Source organism: Homo sapiens, chromosome 15 (genome assembly GCF_000001405.40).
Source record: "Homo sapiens chromosome 15, GRCh38.p14 Primary Assembly".
Lineage (NCBI taxonomy): Eukaryota > Metazoa > Chordata > Mammalia > Primates > Hominidae > Homo > Homo sapiens.
Window position 1 is genome coordinate 59,902,553 of NC_000015.10, and position 19,744 is coordinate 59,922,296.

At 41.2% G+C, this 19,744-nt stretch overlaps 2 annotated features.

Moving 5' to 3' along the window:
* Positions 17,074–17,123: an enhancer, noted in NCBI's record as "active region_9500". NCBI's record gives its function as "activates an Ori minimal core promoter by ATAC-STARR-seq in GM12878 lymphoblastoid cells {active_cell/tissue: GM12878}" and the evidence as "EXISTENCE:reporter gene assay evidence [ECO:0000049][PMID:35858748]".
* Positions 17,184–17,293: an enhancer, noted in NCBI's record as "active region_9501". NCBI's record gives its function as "activates an Ori minimal core promoter by ATAC-STARR-seq in GM12878 lymphoblastoid cells {active_cell/tissue: GM12878}" and the evidence as "EXISTENCE:reporter gene assay evidence [ECO:0000049][PMID:35858748]".

Sequence of the window (19,744 nt, forward strand, 5' to 3'; positions counted from 1 at the left end):
CACTCAACATGGTTAATAATAATTTAGCCTGTTCATTGCTGGAGCTGAGTAGAACGTGTATTGATTTTTCTCCAAAAGATTAACCAGTTTGAAGCAGTAGCCCCTCCAAACCAAGATAAAATATATAAATTGTATTAAAAATGCACAGGACTCATTTTTGTGACTATAAAAAACAAGAAACTTAAAATTCTTAAAAGATGGGTGGGGGTCTACTAAGCCAGCCAAGCTGCTAGCAGCGACATGCACAGTGATTTCTGAGGTTTGGGTTAAAGAGAATGCTCCCAGTTTTGTTCCCCACCACCAATCTTTTGTTTTTTGTTTTAACTTTTATTACATGTGCAGGTTTGTTACAGAGGTGAACTCATGTTACAGGGGTTTGTTGTACAGATGGTTTCATCACCCAGGTGTTGATCCCAGTACCCAATAGTTATCTTTTTTGCTCCCTTCCCTCCTCCCACTTTCCGCCCTCAAGTAGACCCCACTGTCCTTTATTCTCTTCCTTGTGTCCATGAGTTCTTATCGCTTAGTTCCCAATTATAAGAGAGAACATGTGGTATTTGGTTTTCTGTTCCTGTATTAGTTTGCTGAGGATAATGGCCTCCAGCTCCATCCATGTTCCTGCAAAAGACATGATCTCATTCTTTTTTTTTTTTTTTTTTTTTTTTGAGACTGAGTCTGACTCACTCTGTCACCCAGGCTGGAGTGCAGTAGCATGATCTCGGCTCACCGCAACCTCTGTCTCCCGGGTTCAAGAGATTCTCCTGTCTCAGCCTCCCAAGTAGCTGGGACTGCAGGTGTGCACCACCACGCCCTGATAATTTTTGTATTTTTAGTAGAGACGGGATTTCATCATATTGGCCAGGCTGGTCTTGAACTCCTGACCTCATGATCCACCTGCCTCAGCCTCCAAAAGTCCTTGGATTACAGGCATGAACCACTGTGCCAGGCCAGATATCATTCTTTTTCTATGGCTGCATAGTATTCCATGCCCACCACCAATCTTAATGTGAGGGGTGTAGGGGGCATGTCCCGGATTGCTTTGTCGAATTTTAAACAGTCTTATTTCAATTTAACTTGTATGTTTGTGTATAGCATTTGTTTAGGAAAAAAAAATGCCAGCCATTACCAGTTTTAAATTATAGGCTGTGGTGGGAGGATTCCTTTAGTCTAAAAATATGAGGCTTCAGTGAGCTATGATTGAGCCACTGAACTCCAGCCTGGGCGACAGAGCGAGACCCTGTCTCTGAAAAGTGAAATAATATCTGCCAGGCACGCTGGCTCACTCCTGTAATCCCAGCACTTTGGGAGGCCGAGGCAGGCAGATCACGAGGTCAGGAGATCAAGACCATCCTGGCCAACGTGGTGAAACCCCATCTCTACTAAAAATCCAAAAATTAGCCGGGTGTGGTGGCATGCACCTGTAGTCCCAGATATTCGGGAGGCTGAGGCAGGAGAATCGCTTGAACCCGGGGGGGCAGAGGTTGCAGTGAGCCGAGACTGTGCCACTGCACCCCAGCCTGGTGACAGAGTGAGACTCCACCTAAAAAAAGAATAATAAAATAAAATAATATAATATCTACACACCTATGTGTGTATCAAGGAGTGAAAGGAAGAAACATTAAGGGACAATGGAAGAGTGGGAGGAAAAGGAAAAGAGGACAAAGGGAGGGGAAGAAAGAAAGGGACAGTGAGGAGGGAGAAATGGAAAGAAGAAGGGAAGGAAGGGCTGAAATAGTGGCAGAGAGCTGGAAGATGAGAAAGAATTCTGAAGCAAAGGAAAAGAGATAAAGAAAGGATGGGGGAGCAATCAAAGGTCAAGGCAGTGGGGGAAGAAAGAGATGGCAGAACAAACAGAGGGTAGGGAGAGGAACCCTGAAATCAGCTGTGCGAGGAGCGCTGGGCTAGACTTAAATCCCAGCTCTTCCACCTGCATCAGTTATTCTACCACTGTCAGTCTCAGTTTTCTCACCTGTGAAATTGGGGGCGGGGCGGGGGGCGGGGGTGGCAGTGAGAAAACCTACACGGCAGGTTTTCCATTGAAGTAGATGAGGTAAGCTGTGTAAAGGGCAGTCCGGCGTGTCCACTCGAGAAATGTCAACACAAGGGTGTCAAGTGCAGGCATGGTTTCTGTTATGTCTTTTAAAGAACACAATTTCTTCACATGGTCCTGGGTTTGGCCTCCCTGAGCCTAAGCATCCACCCACTGTAAAAGATAGCACCCTGCAGGGGCGCCAAGGCCTTTCCGCTGGAGAGCAAGGAGGATTCCTGTCGCTCCACCTGGTCCACCCGTCAGTCGTCAGCGCACTGCGGAGACACAGGCAGCCACCAATGAACTTTCCACAAAGACAGTTTGCTTCACACGGATCTCAATCCATAACCTTTACTGGTCTCTGTAGAGCCATTACGACCATTAGGCTGTGGACTCAGCACTGCTTTAGCTCTTAAGTTAATACAACTGAGACTTTTTTACTTTCCTATTGGGAAGGAACATGTGCAATTTTAGTGATTTCTTAGATCATTCCATAAGTAAATCAAATATTCTTTCAAGCCCAGTTATCAAAATTGTGTCCTTTGATACCACGTCTTCCATCAAACTGCAGTAATCCAGTTCAACACATTCTAAACCTCTGCTATCTCCTAATATCATCCCTACTAGATACAGTAATTAAATTTGTACTTTTTTTTACAAGTCGTACTCAATAAATCTGAATAAATTAACAACGCATTACTAAGACTGCTACATTAAATTTGCATAGTGCATTTAATGAATATGCAACTGCAAGTGAAAAGGTCTGCTACTGCGAACCTTCTACATTAGCATAACTACTTCCAGCATGTTTCTTAAATAATGCACTCATTTGCACATCACTGACTTGGCTAATTCTAACTTCAGTCAGGGTAGCCTTGTAATTAAGACTCTTGCTTTAATTTTTAATGAAGTTTATGTTACATCAATCCTGACAGTAATGAGGGGACATGGAAACAAAAAGGCCGCTAATAATTAAATTCACAAACCAGTTTGAGGGATAATAATTCCTGAGGAGAAATTACATGACTAATTATTAATTAAATATTCATACTATTGCGCAGCCATCTCCCTTAACTGCTCTTCTTGTTGGTAATAATATTGAGATGTGGATGCCTTTTGCCAACCATTCTGAGTTTAAGGTCTCTGGTTAATTTTAGTGCGCCATTAATCAATATGACACAAAAAATAAAATTGTTTTAATTGGTATCATTTTATTGTGTCTAAATATTACTACAGTTGGTTTAGTTTGTGGAGAATTAATCTAGTTAGTCGGTGCCTGTTTTATGGAAACATAAATCCAGTTTATATCCATAAACATCTAATGGCAGGACAACTTGACCTTTTTTTTTGTAACATTACTGTTTACAGATAATTACACCAACTCTTTAAAAGGTTATTTAATAGCTTTGCATTCATCACAGTAAAATGAAAAACATGCAATATTCTTTAACTCCAGCCTGTTCTAAGGAGGTCTCTGAGACCCTCATTTACCCCTGCTGAAAAGTAAGCAATATTAATGTGTGGGTTTTTAGGAAATGTCTAAGAGCATTCTTTGAATGTGTACAAACAGATTTACATGTTTGGGTCTGGATCTTTGAATGTCTAATTTGTAAATGACATGGGGGGTGTGGTAAGGAAGAAAATATTTCCCATTCTCACAACTTTTCATTGCTGGAAAACGAGAGGGTGGAGGCTTTATGACTCTGGATCTCAGAAATGGTATCAGTTTCCCTACAAAACCCAGTAAACAAACATTACAAAACTGGAGAAATTACTATGATGAAGCCTAATTGGTTGCAATATTTATTGTAGACACTTTTTTTTCTCTTCCATTTCTAAGTGTTGTTTGGGAATCTACATTTATAATGGAGAAAGTCCCTATCTTTAGGCAAGTTTAGCTAGGACAAGAAAAGATCTACAATATTTAAATGGATAACATTAATCATTCAATTAGAACAGGTCATGAAATTTGTTGAAAGCTCTGCTAAATTCAGGACAAGATGCTTTATGGAGACCACTTTGCATATTGCAAAATTAAATAGACACAGGAAAAAAACTCTTTTTTGTCCTACAGGGGCATTTGGAAATTCTGAATCAGGGCAAAGATTTCAGTTTATTTTTCTAATCATTCAAACTAGTTGATTCATCAAAGTGAATCAAATCTGTAACCATAAACCATGGGGGCAAGGATTCCCCTCAGCTACTTCTTGTCACTTTACTACAAACTGACAGGTTTGTAGGGCATTATTATTGGACTTGATGTGTATCAAGTGCTCCCTTTTAATAAACCTTCAAAATCTTTTTAACTTTTCTTTTTTATCTGCTCTCTTAAACTAACACCTGAAGGCAATTTGTAGAGACCACTCACCATGAAACAGTTCATTGCTGCAGGTCAGAGTAAAGATGTCACAGGAAGTCCTGGGTCCCTGGTCCTGCCTTCTGTTTCTTTCACCTGAGAAAATCCTTCTATGTGTGAAACCCTATGTGAATAGCAGAAAACCTCCCTGGGTACTGGGCAAAGTGTAGACCACAGAAGTGACTGGCTCTGCTGGCAGGAATCTGGGGTGCTTGTTCTAGAGAAATCTGCAGAGTCCTACCTCTTTTCCCTTTCATGACCAGGAATGTGTGCACCTGCCCCAGGTGGAGGACTTGGAGGAAACCATTCATCACCAAACAGACCCTCACTGGACTAAAGGACCCTGTCATCTCCTTTTAGGGAAGCAATCAGAGTGCCAGAAAAGCCTGGGGCTTGGACACCAAACACACCTAGGCTCTAATCTCCCTTGGCCTTAGTGAGTAGCTTATGTAATTTCATCTCTCTGAACAGTAGTTTCCTTTTCTGATTGGGGATGATCATGTCCCCTTTGCAGATTGTTGTGAGAATTAGCCACACGTGCAAGAGCTTAGCGCTAGGCCAGTCACAGGAGAGACCAGCACAAAAGGCCAGTAATTATTGTCACTGTTATATCTCTCAAGGAAGAGCATTGGAAGTTCTACCATTGAACAGTCATTCCTTTGAGATAAACACCACTGTCTCAAGGCTTTAAAAAAATGCAAATTGTATACTTTGAAAAGGGATCCCAGATGAGGTCACCATTATTCACCAAATCCTTAAGGCGAGTTATGTTCCAGTCCCCTTTTTCTGTAACAGGGTCATATAAGAGAATACCAGATAAGAGAATCAGAGTAGAGGAGGTTGGAGTGAAAGAGGAATGCTGAAATGGAAAAGGAGGATGTAGAAAGCGGAAGTGCAACTTGTGAGGAAAGAATGTTATATACGTCTGTGCTGCTCAATCACCAAGGTATGGTATATAGAACTCCAAGGAAACAAAACCAAAACATGCTATGGATGTGGATTTCAAAGTTCTTGAATTTAAAAGAAAAACTATTAAGGGCATGATGGCCATGTATCCCAATTTTTCTAGAACTGCTTAATTTTAGTTATTCTGCCCTGAATCTATCAGAATTTGGTTGGTTGAGGGAACAAGGTAGTCTATGTCGTAGATTGTCATCATCTAAAGGTCTCTTTCATAATGGAGCTTCAGAAGGAAAGAGCACACTATCTTCTGTAAACATTTAATGGGCGTCATCAGATACATGGTTTAAATACCAAGTGCCCAGAGGATATATGTATAGCCTTTTCTCTCACCTCTCTTCCCCACAGTACATAGTAAATTGTCAGGAAAGCACCCATATAGATCTTACCTATATCCGTACTAGGTTGAAGTAGTTTGAGGAAAAATTTTGGTGTTTGGCATTCTCTGGTCCTTCTCTGGGGAAGGTGTGGAAAGGAGAAACCTCAGATGTTGAGTTAAACAAATTTCATCACCTTCACTTTACCGGGTAACTTACCTGATCTTTCAGAGCCTCATGTAGAAAAGACGGAGACCACCATGCACCCCAGGACGATGTTGAGGTTAAATTACATAAGGCCCAGGTGCACAGTAATTGTCCATAGCAATCCCTTTCACCTACGCCAGAATCAAGCCGAAATCTCCTTTCGGCATGAGGACTTATTGCTGGAGAAGGGATTACATATGTATTTCAAAGTTCTTGAGTCTAGTTCTGTAATATGACATTTACCATGGGTTTTTGTGTGTGTGCTTTTTTTTTTTTAACCAGTCAATCCAGATTGTTGAGGTCAGCCCTTATTTCAATGCTGTAGAACAACGATCTGCCTAAATTGTTATAAAGATTAAATGAATCGGTATTTGTAAAACACAACAGTGTCTGGTACATAGCAAGTGGAAAGAAAGAAAAAAAATTAAAATCATGCTCGAATGGTTAGAGCCTATCCTCTAGAAACCTATCCATTCTCACCTGGCATTCCTCCTTCATTTGCCCACCACACTCCATTAGTCACTAAATGGCAGACAAATATGCTATTTCTCACCTTTGTGGCTTTGCAAATGCTGTTTTTTTATTTGGTTGGTTTTGGTTTTTTGCCACAAGTAACTTTCCTTTTCCACTTGGTGGCCTATTAAACTCTTATTCATCCTTCAAAACCCAGCTAAGCAAACACTTCTTCCAGAAAGTCTTCCCTCATGTCTCCTTCCCTCATCATTTTCTTTTCTGTGCTTCCTCATAGTGTGCCCACACTTCTATTATACCTTGCACACAATGCTATAATCTATTTATGTTCCTACCAGGGAAAGACTGCATGTGCTCTTTGTATTCCCAACTCCTAAGAACTTCAGGGCACATATTGGCCTCCCCAGGTGTTTGTTGAATGAAATGGAACTCAGGTGACAAGTACCAATTCTATGATTATATTTATATACGTGAAAATCAGAATTTCAATATACCTCTCATCATAATGCAGTAGTTAATGAACAAAGTGCTTTTCTTGGTTTTGCTTTTTCTTTCTTTTTTTTTTTTTTAAATCAAGAGGCAAGAAAATGATGGTAATGAAATGAGAGTGGAAAAGTGAAAATGGAATGGAGATAGGAAGAGATACGGAAGAAAGTGATTTGTGAATTATAAATGGCAATTTCCTACAGGTTAGGATCAATTCAGAATGAACTATTCATTGGCATTATCGATGGTTATTTGGTAACAAATCTAAAATTCCTGTCTGAATTTTAATTAAAAGAGCCACTTAATGTTCCAATTCAGTTGGCACATAGGTACTTTTTTTTTTTTCACGGTTATAAAATTGTCTATCATGATGTTGAGAATCGCCTGAACTCAAGAGAGTCTGTGGGCTGAAATGTTGATACTCCAAGAACCAGAAGGGTGCTCGGTATGTAGTCAACAACCAGCAACACTTATAAATCAAAATACACAAGATGCACCATACTTATCAGGCAAAATGTCCAAAAGGTAGACAGGTGGGTTATGCCCAAAGCACTGACCAACCACGCCATCTTCAGAGCACCTTCAGCATGCCTGAGACGTAATACGAGAAGGTTGCTCCTCTTTCTGAAGGGGCGAGAGTCTTCAGCAGCAAAGGCTTGTGAAGTCAACAACTACTGCTGGAGTTTAGAAGTCACAGGGCAAATCGCTGAGGATATAGTGCCCTTTGTCATCTTTTCTCTTAAAAAGGTCTTCACTGACCACCTCCCTTGAATTTGTTCTTAGCCTTCTCTTCTGTCAGGAGCAGCTGTTTGTAGCAGTTAAGGGCTCAGACTGTCAAGGTCAAGTTACTATATCTCCCTGTCTCATATCTAAGATATGAATTGTTAACAGAAAAAAGTGAGTAATATTTTAGTATATAACATTTTTTAAATTGGAAAAAATACCCCTATATTCTTGTGAGAATAGAGAAAGAGTGGTAAGATACAAATAATATATTAACACAGATTATCTGGGTGGGGATGGGCGAGGGAAGATATTTTCTTTACATCTAAAGAAAAAAGAATTTCTTTAAAGAATTCTAAAGAAAGGATTTATTAACATCCTTTAACCAGGTGTTAATATTTCTTTATTCGCTTTGATGTTGCAAAAAATGTAGAATAAAGTAAATACAAAGAATGGAAAATTGATGGATTCTTAGCTCTTCTCTTTCTAAAAAGGATTTCTGATAAACTGAAGGAAAAAATAGAAGTAGCATAGTGAAGTGAAGCTAGAGGCTAACTTAATACCAGGAATTTTCTGCAATAAACATGCATCACTCTCATAATATGAAAAAAATTAAAAGTGAATGAAAATTTCCACCACCAAATGATGAACTCTCTACATTAATCTTAGGTTTATTTTTAAGTCTTTATGAATTATAATAGCTATTTTTTTTTTCCTCAAAGAAAATCTGGGAAATTCACAGCCATGTAAAAAGAAGGAAAAAACATTTCACCCATGTCGACGTTTTCCAAAGGCAATCACTGTTGACATGGGAATGTTTTCCTGTCTTAGGGATGCCCTCTCTTACCACTCCTATTCAACGTAGTGTTGGAAGTTCTGGCCAGGGCAATCAGGCAGGAGAAAGAAATACAGAGTATTCGATTAGGAAAAGAGGAAGTCAAATTGTCCCTGTTTGTAGATGACATGATTGTATATTTAGAAAACCCCATCGTCTCAGCCCAAAATCTCCTTAAGCTGACAAGCAACTTCAGCAAAGTCTCAGGATACAAAATCAATGTGCAAAAATCACAAGAATTCCTATACACCAATAACAGAGAGCCAAATCATGAGTGAACGCCCATTCACAATTGCTACAAAGAGAATAAAATATCTAGGAATCCAACTTACAAGGGATGGGAAAGACCTCTTCAAGGAGAACTACAAACCACTGCTCAACGAAATAAAAGAGGACACAAACAAATGGAAGAACATTCCATGCTCATGGATAGGAAGATCAATATCATGAAAATGGCCATACTGCCCAAGGTAATTTATAGATTCAATGCCATCCCCATCAAGCTACCAATGACTTTCTTCACAGAATTGGAAAAAAACTACTTTAAAGTTCATATGGAACCAAAAAAGAGCCCGCATTGCCAAGTCAATCCTAAGCCAAAAGAACAAAGCTGGAGGAGTCACGCTACCTGACTTCAAACTATACTACAAGGCTACAGTAACCAAAACAGCATAGTACTGGTACCAAAACAGAGATATAGACCAATGGAATGGAACAGAGCCCTCAGAAATAATACCACACATCTACAACCATCTGATCTTTGAGAAACCTGACAAAAACAAGAAATGGGGAAAGGATTCCCTATTTAATAAATGGTGCTGGGAAAACTGGCTAGCCACATGTAGGAAGCTGAAACTGGATCTCTCCTTACACCTTACACAAAAATTAATTCAAGATGGATTAAAGACTTAAATGTTAGACCTAAAACCATAAAAACCCTAGAAGAAAACCTAGGCAATACCATTTAGGACATAGGCATGGGCTAGCACTTCATGACTAAAACACCAAAAGCAATGGCAACAAAAGCCAAAATAGACAAATGGGATATAATTAAACTAAAGAGCTTCTGTGCAGCAAAAGAAACTGCCATCAGAGTGAACAGGCAACCTACAGAATGGGAGAAAATTTTTACAATCTACCCATCTGACAAAGGGCTAATACCCAGAATCTACAAAGAACTTAAACAAATTTACAAGAAAAAATCAAACAACCCCATCAAAAAGTGGGCAAAGGATATGAACAGACACTTCTCAAAAGAAGACATTTATGCAGCCAACAGACATATGAAAAAATGCTCATCATCACTGGCCATCACAGAAATGCAAATCAAAACCACAATGAGATACCATCTCACACCAGTTAGAATGGCGATCATTAAAAAGTCAGGAAACAACAGGTGCTGGAGAGGATGTGGAGAAATAGGAACACTTTTACACTGTTGGTGGGACTATAAACTAGTTCAACCATTGTGGAAGACAGTGCGGCGATTCCTCAAGGATCTAGAACGAGAAACACCATTTGACCCAGCCATCCCATTACTGGGTATATACCCAAAGGATTATAAATCATGCTGCTATAAAGACACATGCACACGTATGTTTATTGCGGCACCATTCACAATAGCAAAGACTTGGAACCAACCCAAATGTCTATCAATGATAGACTGGATTAAGAAAATGTGGCACATGTACACCATGGAATACTATGCAGCCATAATAAAGGATGAGTTCGTGTCCTTTGTAGGGACATGGATGAAGCTGGAAACCATCATTCTGAGCAGACTATCGCAAGGACAGAAAACCAAACACCACGTGTTCTCACTCATGGGTGGGAATTGAGCAATGAGAACACTTGGACACAGGGTGGAGAACATCACACACCGGAGCCCGTCGTGGGGTGGGGGGAGGGGGGAGGGATAGCATTAGGAGATATACCTAATGTAAATGACGAGTTGATGGGTGCAGCACACCAACATGGCACATGTATACATATGTAACAAACCTGCAAGTTGTGCACATGTACCGTAGAACTTAAAGCATAATAATAAAAAAAGTTTACCTGTCTTTTCTTTTTCCTGGATGTACATGGTTTTGATAATAATACTGTGATTTACATTGTACCTGTTAACTCCTGGTTCTTGGCTGTCTTTCTTTTCCAAGCAGCCTCAGCCGTCCTGGGGAATGGGAAGAACAGGAAGATCAATCCATTCAATAGGCTGTTACAATTGCTACAACCCCTGCCGGCTTACATGGGAGGGGGCTTTTAAAAAAGGTGCCTTCCAGGTGGCAATTCCATGCATCTGAGCAGGTAAGGCCAGGTGCAGGGGAAAATATCTGATATGTTGCAACTAAACTAAGGGAGAAATGAAACCACAGGTCTGCTGTCTCCTGGCACATATGTACATGCTTTGTTCCGAGTTATAAAATTGTGTGTATGAAGTTGGGAATTATCCGAACCCAGAAGTATCCTCATGTTCTTCTTATGTCACTAGTCTCCCGTACACTCCTCCCTGGACCCAAGGTGGCTTTATCTTTAATTACCATTCACCAAGTTTGCACGTGGTATTTCTCATTAGAAGGCGAGTACCTCTTTGTCCAAGCCACTGGGAGTGGGGAGCACTCAGTATGGCCTATCTTGAAGCTGTAACCCCACTCAGGTAGCCCCTACGCTGTTCTTAGCTTTCTCACTCCTGAGGTCAAAAGAATACAAACTATTCCAGCTCTGCACATGTCTCCTTAATGTGTCTGTCTCTTTATAAAGTCTTCTTGGAATTCACATCTTTTTATAATTTACTAATTTAATTCATTTTATATCTACAAATCTACTTTTCTTTCCCTTCTCGAGTACAATAGATTATGACTTGAAATCTTCTCTCCAATCAATACTGTGCCCCCAACACCGTCTTCCCTCCGTTTGTCACTAGAACAAAGCATTTGCTTATTGTATTTCACAATCGTGGTGACACCATCTGTACTGGTTGTATAATGTTTGGTAGGCTTTGTCATAATTTACTTAAACATCCTCTTGTTTACTGAACACTAGGGTTATTCTGATTCTTCACTGTTGGGAATGGTACTGTAATAAACATTTTGGAACATGAACCTTTTTTTTACCTTTTAATACTTTTTTCTCCTTAGAATAGAGTTCAAATAGTGGCCATTTCCATGTGATAGCCTCCATTAAAAAGCAAGCATTTCCCACACATATTTATGCATGTGTTAGATTCTTTGGTGGGGGTGGGTAATGGAAATGATTCCTTTTCAGTCAAAGAACTCTTTTTCTACATTTCCCTTCTTTTTCCTCCTTACCTTACTTTCTCCTCTGATCCTGCCTAGAAATCAAATCCAGGACACCAAAGCATGAGCCTTAGGAGAGCATTGCCAGGGCTGCTACGAGCAATAAAGTTATGGGTGAGCGACTTTACATCGTTACTGATCCTTCTTTTTCATTCAGTCTTCTCTGAGATCCCATCCAGTGCTAACGATCTTTGAGTCCTTAAACCAGTCTTTACTCAGCTCCTCCATCTTCAAGTACAGCCCTCTCTGCTTTTGTAATTAGCAACTAAGAATGTTCAATTTGTTATAAGTAATTAATTTAATTAATTAATAAAGTTACACTTAAGAAAGACTTTTGGGCCAATGCTTCATCACACCCAAGTTCCTTTTCTACTTCTTTTATCTGGAAAAGTAAATTTAGGCTCCAAAAAGTTTTCTGAAAAGCTAACAATGCCTGCTTTTTACAGAGGATGGTATTTTTTTTTAAATTTACTTCTATACCCTAAAAAGTACTTAGAAGTCTAAGATTAAATTCTCAGAATGGTCCTGTCTTTGGTAGTCCTAGTTTTCCAGGACCAAAGAAATCATGCTCCTTGTTAATTTTGCAAATCATGACAATACAGTAATAATAGTTCCTGATTGCCTAGTACTTTTACATATGTTATATAATTTATTCTTCTGTACAATTCTATAAACTGGGCAATGTAGATTTGCTTATCTTTATGGATGAGGAAACTGAGACTCCAGAGGTTACTTGCTTAAGACACAACAAGCCTCTTGGACTTGGATCCAATGGCTGATCTGGAGATTCCAGGGAATCTCTAGAGCAAGCCATTTTATACCGTTCTTGGCAAGCTCTGATAGCTCGCAATGCCTTCCTTATTTTGGGCTAAACCTCTCTCCTGAGTTGACTTCTACCCACTCACTTGTCCTGGTTTTAGCTTTCAGGCTCCATAGAAAAAGTCTAATATTTTGCTTCCATGTGACATGAAATTTGGGGACAAAAGACCAAAGTGTCCTTTGGGTCTGCTCTTCTTCAGAAGAAAGAAGTATGTTCCTTCAGCTATTTCTCCAATGGCATGATTTTAGCCTCATTACCTTGGTGAACATGTTTGTTTTAAACTGAACGTGATTCTCCGATGGGGTCAACATACAGAATAGCAGGATGATCTTCCCTCCTCTTCTAAAAGTTCTAGACCTGCCTAAACTACCCATTAGCTTTCTTGCCTGGACACCTTTAGGTTATATTCAGTTTACAATCTACAAAAGCCCTCTACCCATTTCCTCCTCCCCTCCCTCCCTCCCTTCTTCCTCCCTTCCCTTCTCTTCCATTCCCTATCCTTCCTTCTTTTTTTTTTTTGAGACAGATTCTCTCTCTATTGTTCATGCTGGAGTTCAGTGGTGCGACCTACTAGGCTCAATAGATTCTCCTGCCTCAGCCTCCCAAGTAGCTGAGATTACGGGTGCGTGCCACCACCCCAGACTAATTTTTGTGTTATTATCATTTTTTCTTTTTAGTGGAGACGGGGTTTCGCCATGTTGGCCAGGCTGGTCTTGAATTCCTGGCCTCAAGCGACCTGCCTGCCTCAGCCTCCCAAAGTGCTAGGATTACAGGAATGAGCTACCACGCCCTTACCCATTTCATACAAGGTACTATTGAGTTATGTCTTCCCGGTATTGAGCTCGTGCCAATGTCTTTTTGGATCAACTACAAACACACGTTTTTACTTTTCCCTATGTTACTTCACCTTTTATTAAAGTAGATTTGGTTCCCAAATTCTAAGCTGTTAAGATTTGAAGACAGTTTAATTCAGATTATTGTAGAGAAATCTAATTCATTCTTTGTAATAGGCATATAATGACTCCTACAATCAATGAGTCTCAATTTATACAAGTATCCTCTTATTGATATATATGGGCATTGTCTTGATTTGAATTTGTTTTGCCAACTGTAAGCAATGCTACAAGAAACGTACTTCCATATATATACTGGTGTTTTATTTAAAAAAAAAATAGTCTTAAAAGCTGGGTCAGAGGATGTCTGCATTTGTAATCCTAACGGCTATGAATAGATTATTTTACCAAAGGTAACAACAGTACAGAGTAATGCTGGCAGCATGTGAGGTAGCAAGAAGAGTTAGAAATAGATTTAAAAACAAAAGCATAAAAGAGTAAAATAAAGCTAGGAGTAAAGTAAGTCTCTGAATTTTTTCTATACCATACGTGTATTCCTTTGATAAAAAGCTAGCGAAAAATTCTCTCCTAAAGCTTTTTGTTATTAAGCCTGTGGAAATAATGGTCTTTTTCTCTGCACTGCTGAAGTATTTACTATTTGCAAAACTCACTATTTGTTCCATTCCTGAGGCAATTAATCACAGAGGATCCCTGACCATCAAGCGTTCTATTGTTATAATGAGCTGTCATTCAGAGCTTTCATTGTCATCCACATCTTTATGACTTAAGAGGTCAACCTTGGAGTCAAACGCACCAGGGTTCAAATTCCAGCCATTTACCCACTTACCAAGTGTGTGGTTTTGAGGCATTACTTAGAAGCCTTAAGTTTCAGCTTCATCTGTAAAATGGGTATAATACTTCTTTACTTTCAAGTATTCAGAATTAATAATGTAATGTATACAAAGCCCCCTGGAAAAGTGCCTGGTACACACTACTACTGGATGATTAATATTTACACATACTACCACTATTGTATGGTTAGGTGCCAGGCTTTGCAAAGCACTTTACATACACTTTCCTAAAACCAGAACTATGGCTGGGCACAGTGGCTCGCGCCTGTAATCCCAACACCTTGGGAGGCTGAGATGGGTGGATCACTTGAGTCAGGAGTTCGAGATCAGCCTGACCAACATGACAAAACCCCATCTCTACTAAAAATACAAAATTAGCTGGGCATGGTAGCGCTTGCCTGTAGTCCCAGCTACTTGGAAGGCTGAGGCATGAGAATCCCTTGAATCCAGGAGGGAGAGTTTGCGGTGAGCTGAGATCATGCCACTGCACTCCAGCCTGGGTGACAGAGTGAGACTCCATCTCAAAAAAACAAAACAAGCAAACAAATTAAAATAGAACTATAATTCACACATGTAGCCACTCAACTAATGATTTCAGAATAAAGTAAGTACTATTACGACTCCATTTTGTAGATGAGAAAATGAGGATCACAGAGGTAAAAGTAACTTGTCTAAGGTCAAACAGCTAAAATAAAACCTTCATTCAATGAATGTTAATTATACTAATTACTACTAATCTTGAGATTGCCTCAATATATGCAGCTTGGAACATGAGACTGATGAAACTTTAGGGTAGCTACTGGGATAATGAGTGACTGAAGGAGCTAACCCTACTTTAGGCTGCAACCAGCACCTACGTCCCAAAGGGCTAGAGTGGCGTGGGCAGGCATTCTATCTCTCTGCAGAGTGTAGCCATAAAGTGGAGAGGGTGGGGCCAGAGCCGGCTGAGAGTGAACGTATCAGAAATGCCAGAAGGTGGCAGTGTGGGGTGGTACCTGGAGAGGTATGCCTGGGGTCAGTGAGATGGCTGGGCCTCACAGGGACGGGTTTGGCAAGGATTAAGCTGCATTCATGATGGGACTTCAGTCTTTCTGGGATTAGGGTTCAAATCAGAAACAGGATAAAGTTCAGTAGTGACAACACAGTCACAGCATGGGGTCAGAGGGGATTATAGCTCTCAGGGTCATGGAGGGCCCTGGGGACTCACCCCACAGGCTCATGGCCTGAGGACCCCCAATATCTGACCAACGGACTAGGGGTTGGTAAGCCAACAGCTCCCGGGCCTCTGTGTCTGCTGTCAAGGGAAAGCGCACGGGGAGGGAACCTGCATTCATTGGGCAGATTCAAAGCCTATGTTAGCCATGTTTAGGCCCCAAGAATACACGGACATTTCAAACTCAGGGTTCCTTCCCCTGTGTTCTGTGTTCTAGCACAACCGTTCTGCTTTTTAAAACCTTCCTGTAGCTCTCTTGATTCAAATGAATACATCACTTAGAAGTTAAAACCAAAGGACATAGCGTATATCCCAGATGAACAGCAAGGATGGGTCTTTGAGGTTTGCTTTTTCAACAGCAGTTTTGCCTCTGGTCTCTGCACCAAAATCGGGTCCCTTCCTCATCTCATACATTCTCTCTTTGCTTTTACAGTTCAGAAAACTGCAGCATGTGACCCTCAGTGTGTGTCCCTCTGTAAAGCATCCACTTACATAACTTTTCCTGCTATTATCTAAAAATATATCAGTGCACTTGGCTTGAGAATGTTTTTGAGACTTAAATTTACACTCAGCACTTCAAAAGCATCACAGTAAGCCTGTTGAAACTTCCAGTGTGAAAGCTCAGAAATTCTAATAAGCACTAGACTACACTCACAAATAAAAAACATTCTTTCCAATCCTCTCCTGTAGGACTCAGGGAGAATAATTAGAACAATAGAGATAATACTCTCTGAAATTAAGCCAATTTCAGCTCTCTCCAAAGGTTTTCATTAAATGCAGGGGAAAGCCAGAGATATGAGCTGGAATCTTTTCCTAGCCACTTGCTGGCTGTGTAATGTGGGATCATTTGGCTGATCTTCCCAAATCTCTGTTTCCTTATTTGTAAAATGGGAGTATTTGAAAACTCCAGGAGTCATTGGGAAGATCAAATTCTATTATGCACCTGCAAGCTACAAAGCTGTTGTACACCTCATAACTGAGCGCCTTCTTTTCCTTTTCCTTCTTTTTTTGTAATTTATGTATTTATTTTAATTTTTTTAAAGTAGAAATGGGGTCTTACTACATTACCCAGACTGGTTTTGAAATCCTGGGCTCAAGCGATCCTCCCGCCTCAGCCTCCCAAAGTGTTGGGATTACAGGCGTGAGCCACAGCACCCAGCTTTCTTTTTCCTTTTATCTTAATTGTGCTTTGGTTAGTTTTTGAGACTGAGACATTTGACAGGACTTTGAGATGGGCCGCATGGCAGAGGAAGACCAGGAACTGAGACTCTAGCGTGGCTCCACCTCTCACTGCATTGTCTCGGGAAAGCAACCTTCATTTCTGCATCTCAGTTTCCTTTTATCTGAGAGATGTGGATCTTGACCAAATAATCATCAATGTCTCCTCTCAATCTATGATTTAGGGTTTAACCTTTAAATTCGGCAGCACCCTTTCATGAATGGTCTGAGCCAATGACGAGACAGCAGCATTTCTCTTTTGGTATTGCCAGATTAGAGGTCTCGCTGGTGGCTTTTGACTCATACCTGTTTTCTTTCCTGCTTTGCTCTATGCTTTCCACAGCGGTGATCTCATTCAATTCTCACAAGAACCTCATGAGTCAGAAAAGGCAGATATGACTGTCTGCATTTTACAGATGATGAAAATGAAGCCTTGGGAGGGTGATAAATCTGCCCAGATCACCCAAGTAGTTGGAAAAGTCAGTTCTCCAGAGGTTGAAAGGGCCTCGACTCTCCAGGGACTGGGGAAACCCACAGAGAGAAACCCACTCCCCTGCATCCAGCCTTGTCTGAGCTCCCATCCTCTCTTGTAACAGCCTCATAACCAGTCTTCCTCCTCATGCCCTTCCCCTACCACACAGTTGCTTCTCAACACAGCAGCCAGAGTGGAGTTTTAAAAATGTAAGTCAGGGCTGGGCACAGTGGCTCATGCCTATAATCCCAGCACTCTGGGAGGCTGAGGTGGGTGAATCACCTGAGGTGTAGAAAGAGAGAGAAAGAAGAGAGAGAGAGAGAAGGAGGAGGTGTCACACACTTTTAAACAGCCAGATCTCATGACAGATCACTCATTATCTCGAGGACAGCACAAAGACATTTGTGGGGGGCTGCCTCCCCATGACCCAAACACTTCCCACTAAGCCCCACCTCCAACACTGGGGATTACATTTCAACATGAGATTTGGAGGGGACAAATATCCAAGCCATATCACTCCTCCTCTGCCCTCACTAATTGTATATAGTTAATTGGCCTACATGTCTTTCTTCCCTGATAAAGTGTGACTGCTAAAGTCACACTTGCAGTTCTGAGCGAACCAGGATGATGGTTCACCCCCACTGTGAGCTCCATAAGAGATCCTGTCTCACTTTTCTTTGTCTTTCCAGAGTCTAGGTGAGACCTGGAGCACCAAAGTGTTAGTTAAATAAAAAATGTACACATGCGTACTCCAGCTTTTAGAGGCTGGACTGTGTTCACTTTGAACTACTTTAAAATGAGCTCTAGGCTGGGTGCAGTGGCTCATGCCAGTAATCCCAGCATTTTGAGAGGCCGAGGCAGGCGGATCACTTGAGGTCATGAGTTGGAGACCAGCCTGGCCAACATGGAAAAACCCTGTTTCTAGGAAAAATAAAAATAAAATAAAGTAAAATAAGCTCTACACATCTTGGAAGAAAGTGAGAAATATCACTATGAATAAATCCTATTAGAAACAGGTCTTTTTATGCACCCTGGCAGGCTGGTTGGCCCGTTCAGACACACCTTGAAATGTGCAAATCGAATACACAGGGTGGCCCTCAGCCTGTAGTATCTTGCTGCTCAAAGCATGGTCCATGCACTAGCACCAGTGGTATTGCCTCAGAGCTTGCTAGAAATGCAGAATCTCAGGCCTTACCATAAAACTGCTGAATCGGAATCTACATTTTAAGAAGATCCCAGCTCATTCATATACATAGTAAATGTCAAGAATCGCTGCTTTAGGGCCCGTTAGAAATACCTGTGGATCCACATCTACTTTGCCAGCCTTACCCTTGCAAATGTTGCTTTGAAAGATTGCCAGGTAGTGCTCAGGCATCTGATTTGGAAAAAAAAAAAAAATGTTTATTCGCCAGGCGCGGTGGCTCACGCCTGTAATCCCAGCACTTTGGGAGGCCGAGGCAGGCGGATCACGAGGTCAGGAGATTGAGACCATCCTGGCTAACAGGGTGAAACCCCGTCTCTACTAAAAATACAAAAAATTAGCTGGGCGAGGTGGCGGGCGCCTGTAGTCCCAGCTACTTGGGAGGCTGAGGCAGGAGAATGGCGTGAACCCAGGGGGCGAAGCCTGCAGTGAGCAGAGATCATGCCACTGCACTCCAGCCTGGGCGACAGTGAGCCGTCTCAAGAAAAAAAAAAATGTTTATTTTGACATGCAGCAAAGATTGAGAATGGCTAGAAATGTGTTTTTCTTATTGCCCTTATTCCTGAAAATATGATACTTGGACCACCTGTATCTGGTGCTTGCAGAAAGGACTGATTTCCAGGCAATATCTCAGAATATGGAATCAGAATCTTAGAAGTAGGGTAAGGCACTGAAATTGGTATTTTCCATAAATTTTGTAGGGGATTCCTATGTATACCAAAGTTTAAAAACCTCTGCCCTAGGAAGAGGAATGATGGAGAAGTGATATGAGTGCTCCTGGGTTTTTTGCCTGTCTGGAATTCCTTCACTACCGCCAATACCCCCATTTTGTAACATTATTCTTTTGGAGATCCACTTCTGTTTTCAGTCCACCTGGATTAGATACGACCGACCTTTCCTCCTTCCAGAAGTGAGCATGTGATCTAGGCCTTACCAGTGAAAGAATTCCTTCCCCCTGCCCACAGCCATTGCTTAAAGATTGAGCACAACTCAGGGTTTATGAATGAGATTGGCACCATTTCTAGAATTATTGGGGGAAGAGATGCTCTTTTTGCTAGATTCCTGAGCAGAAGTCTTGGGCTGCTGGAGGTCATCTTTGCTAACCTTTGGGGGAACCTGTCAACACAGAAGAGGGCTGAGGCAGATGGAGGTGGCAAGAAGGGCACCCTGCCACTCACAAAGCCCTGAGAATGACTTGTGTGGATTCAGGCCTTTAAAGCTGACTGCAGCACAACTTGACATTAGGTATTAAATGAAGAATGAGCCTGTTCAACATGGTGAAACCCTCTCTCTACCAAATAAAGATATAAAAATTCACTGGGCATGGTGGTGCATACCCGTAGTATCAGCTACTTGGGAGGCTGAGGTGGGAGGATCACTTGAGCCTGGGAGGCGGAGGTTGCAGTGAGCCAAGATCATGCCACTGCATTCCAGCCAGGGCAACAAAGCAAGACCC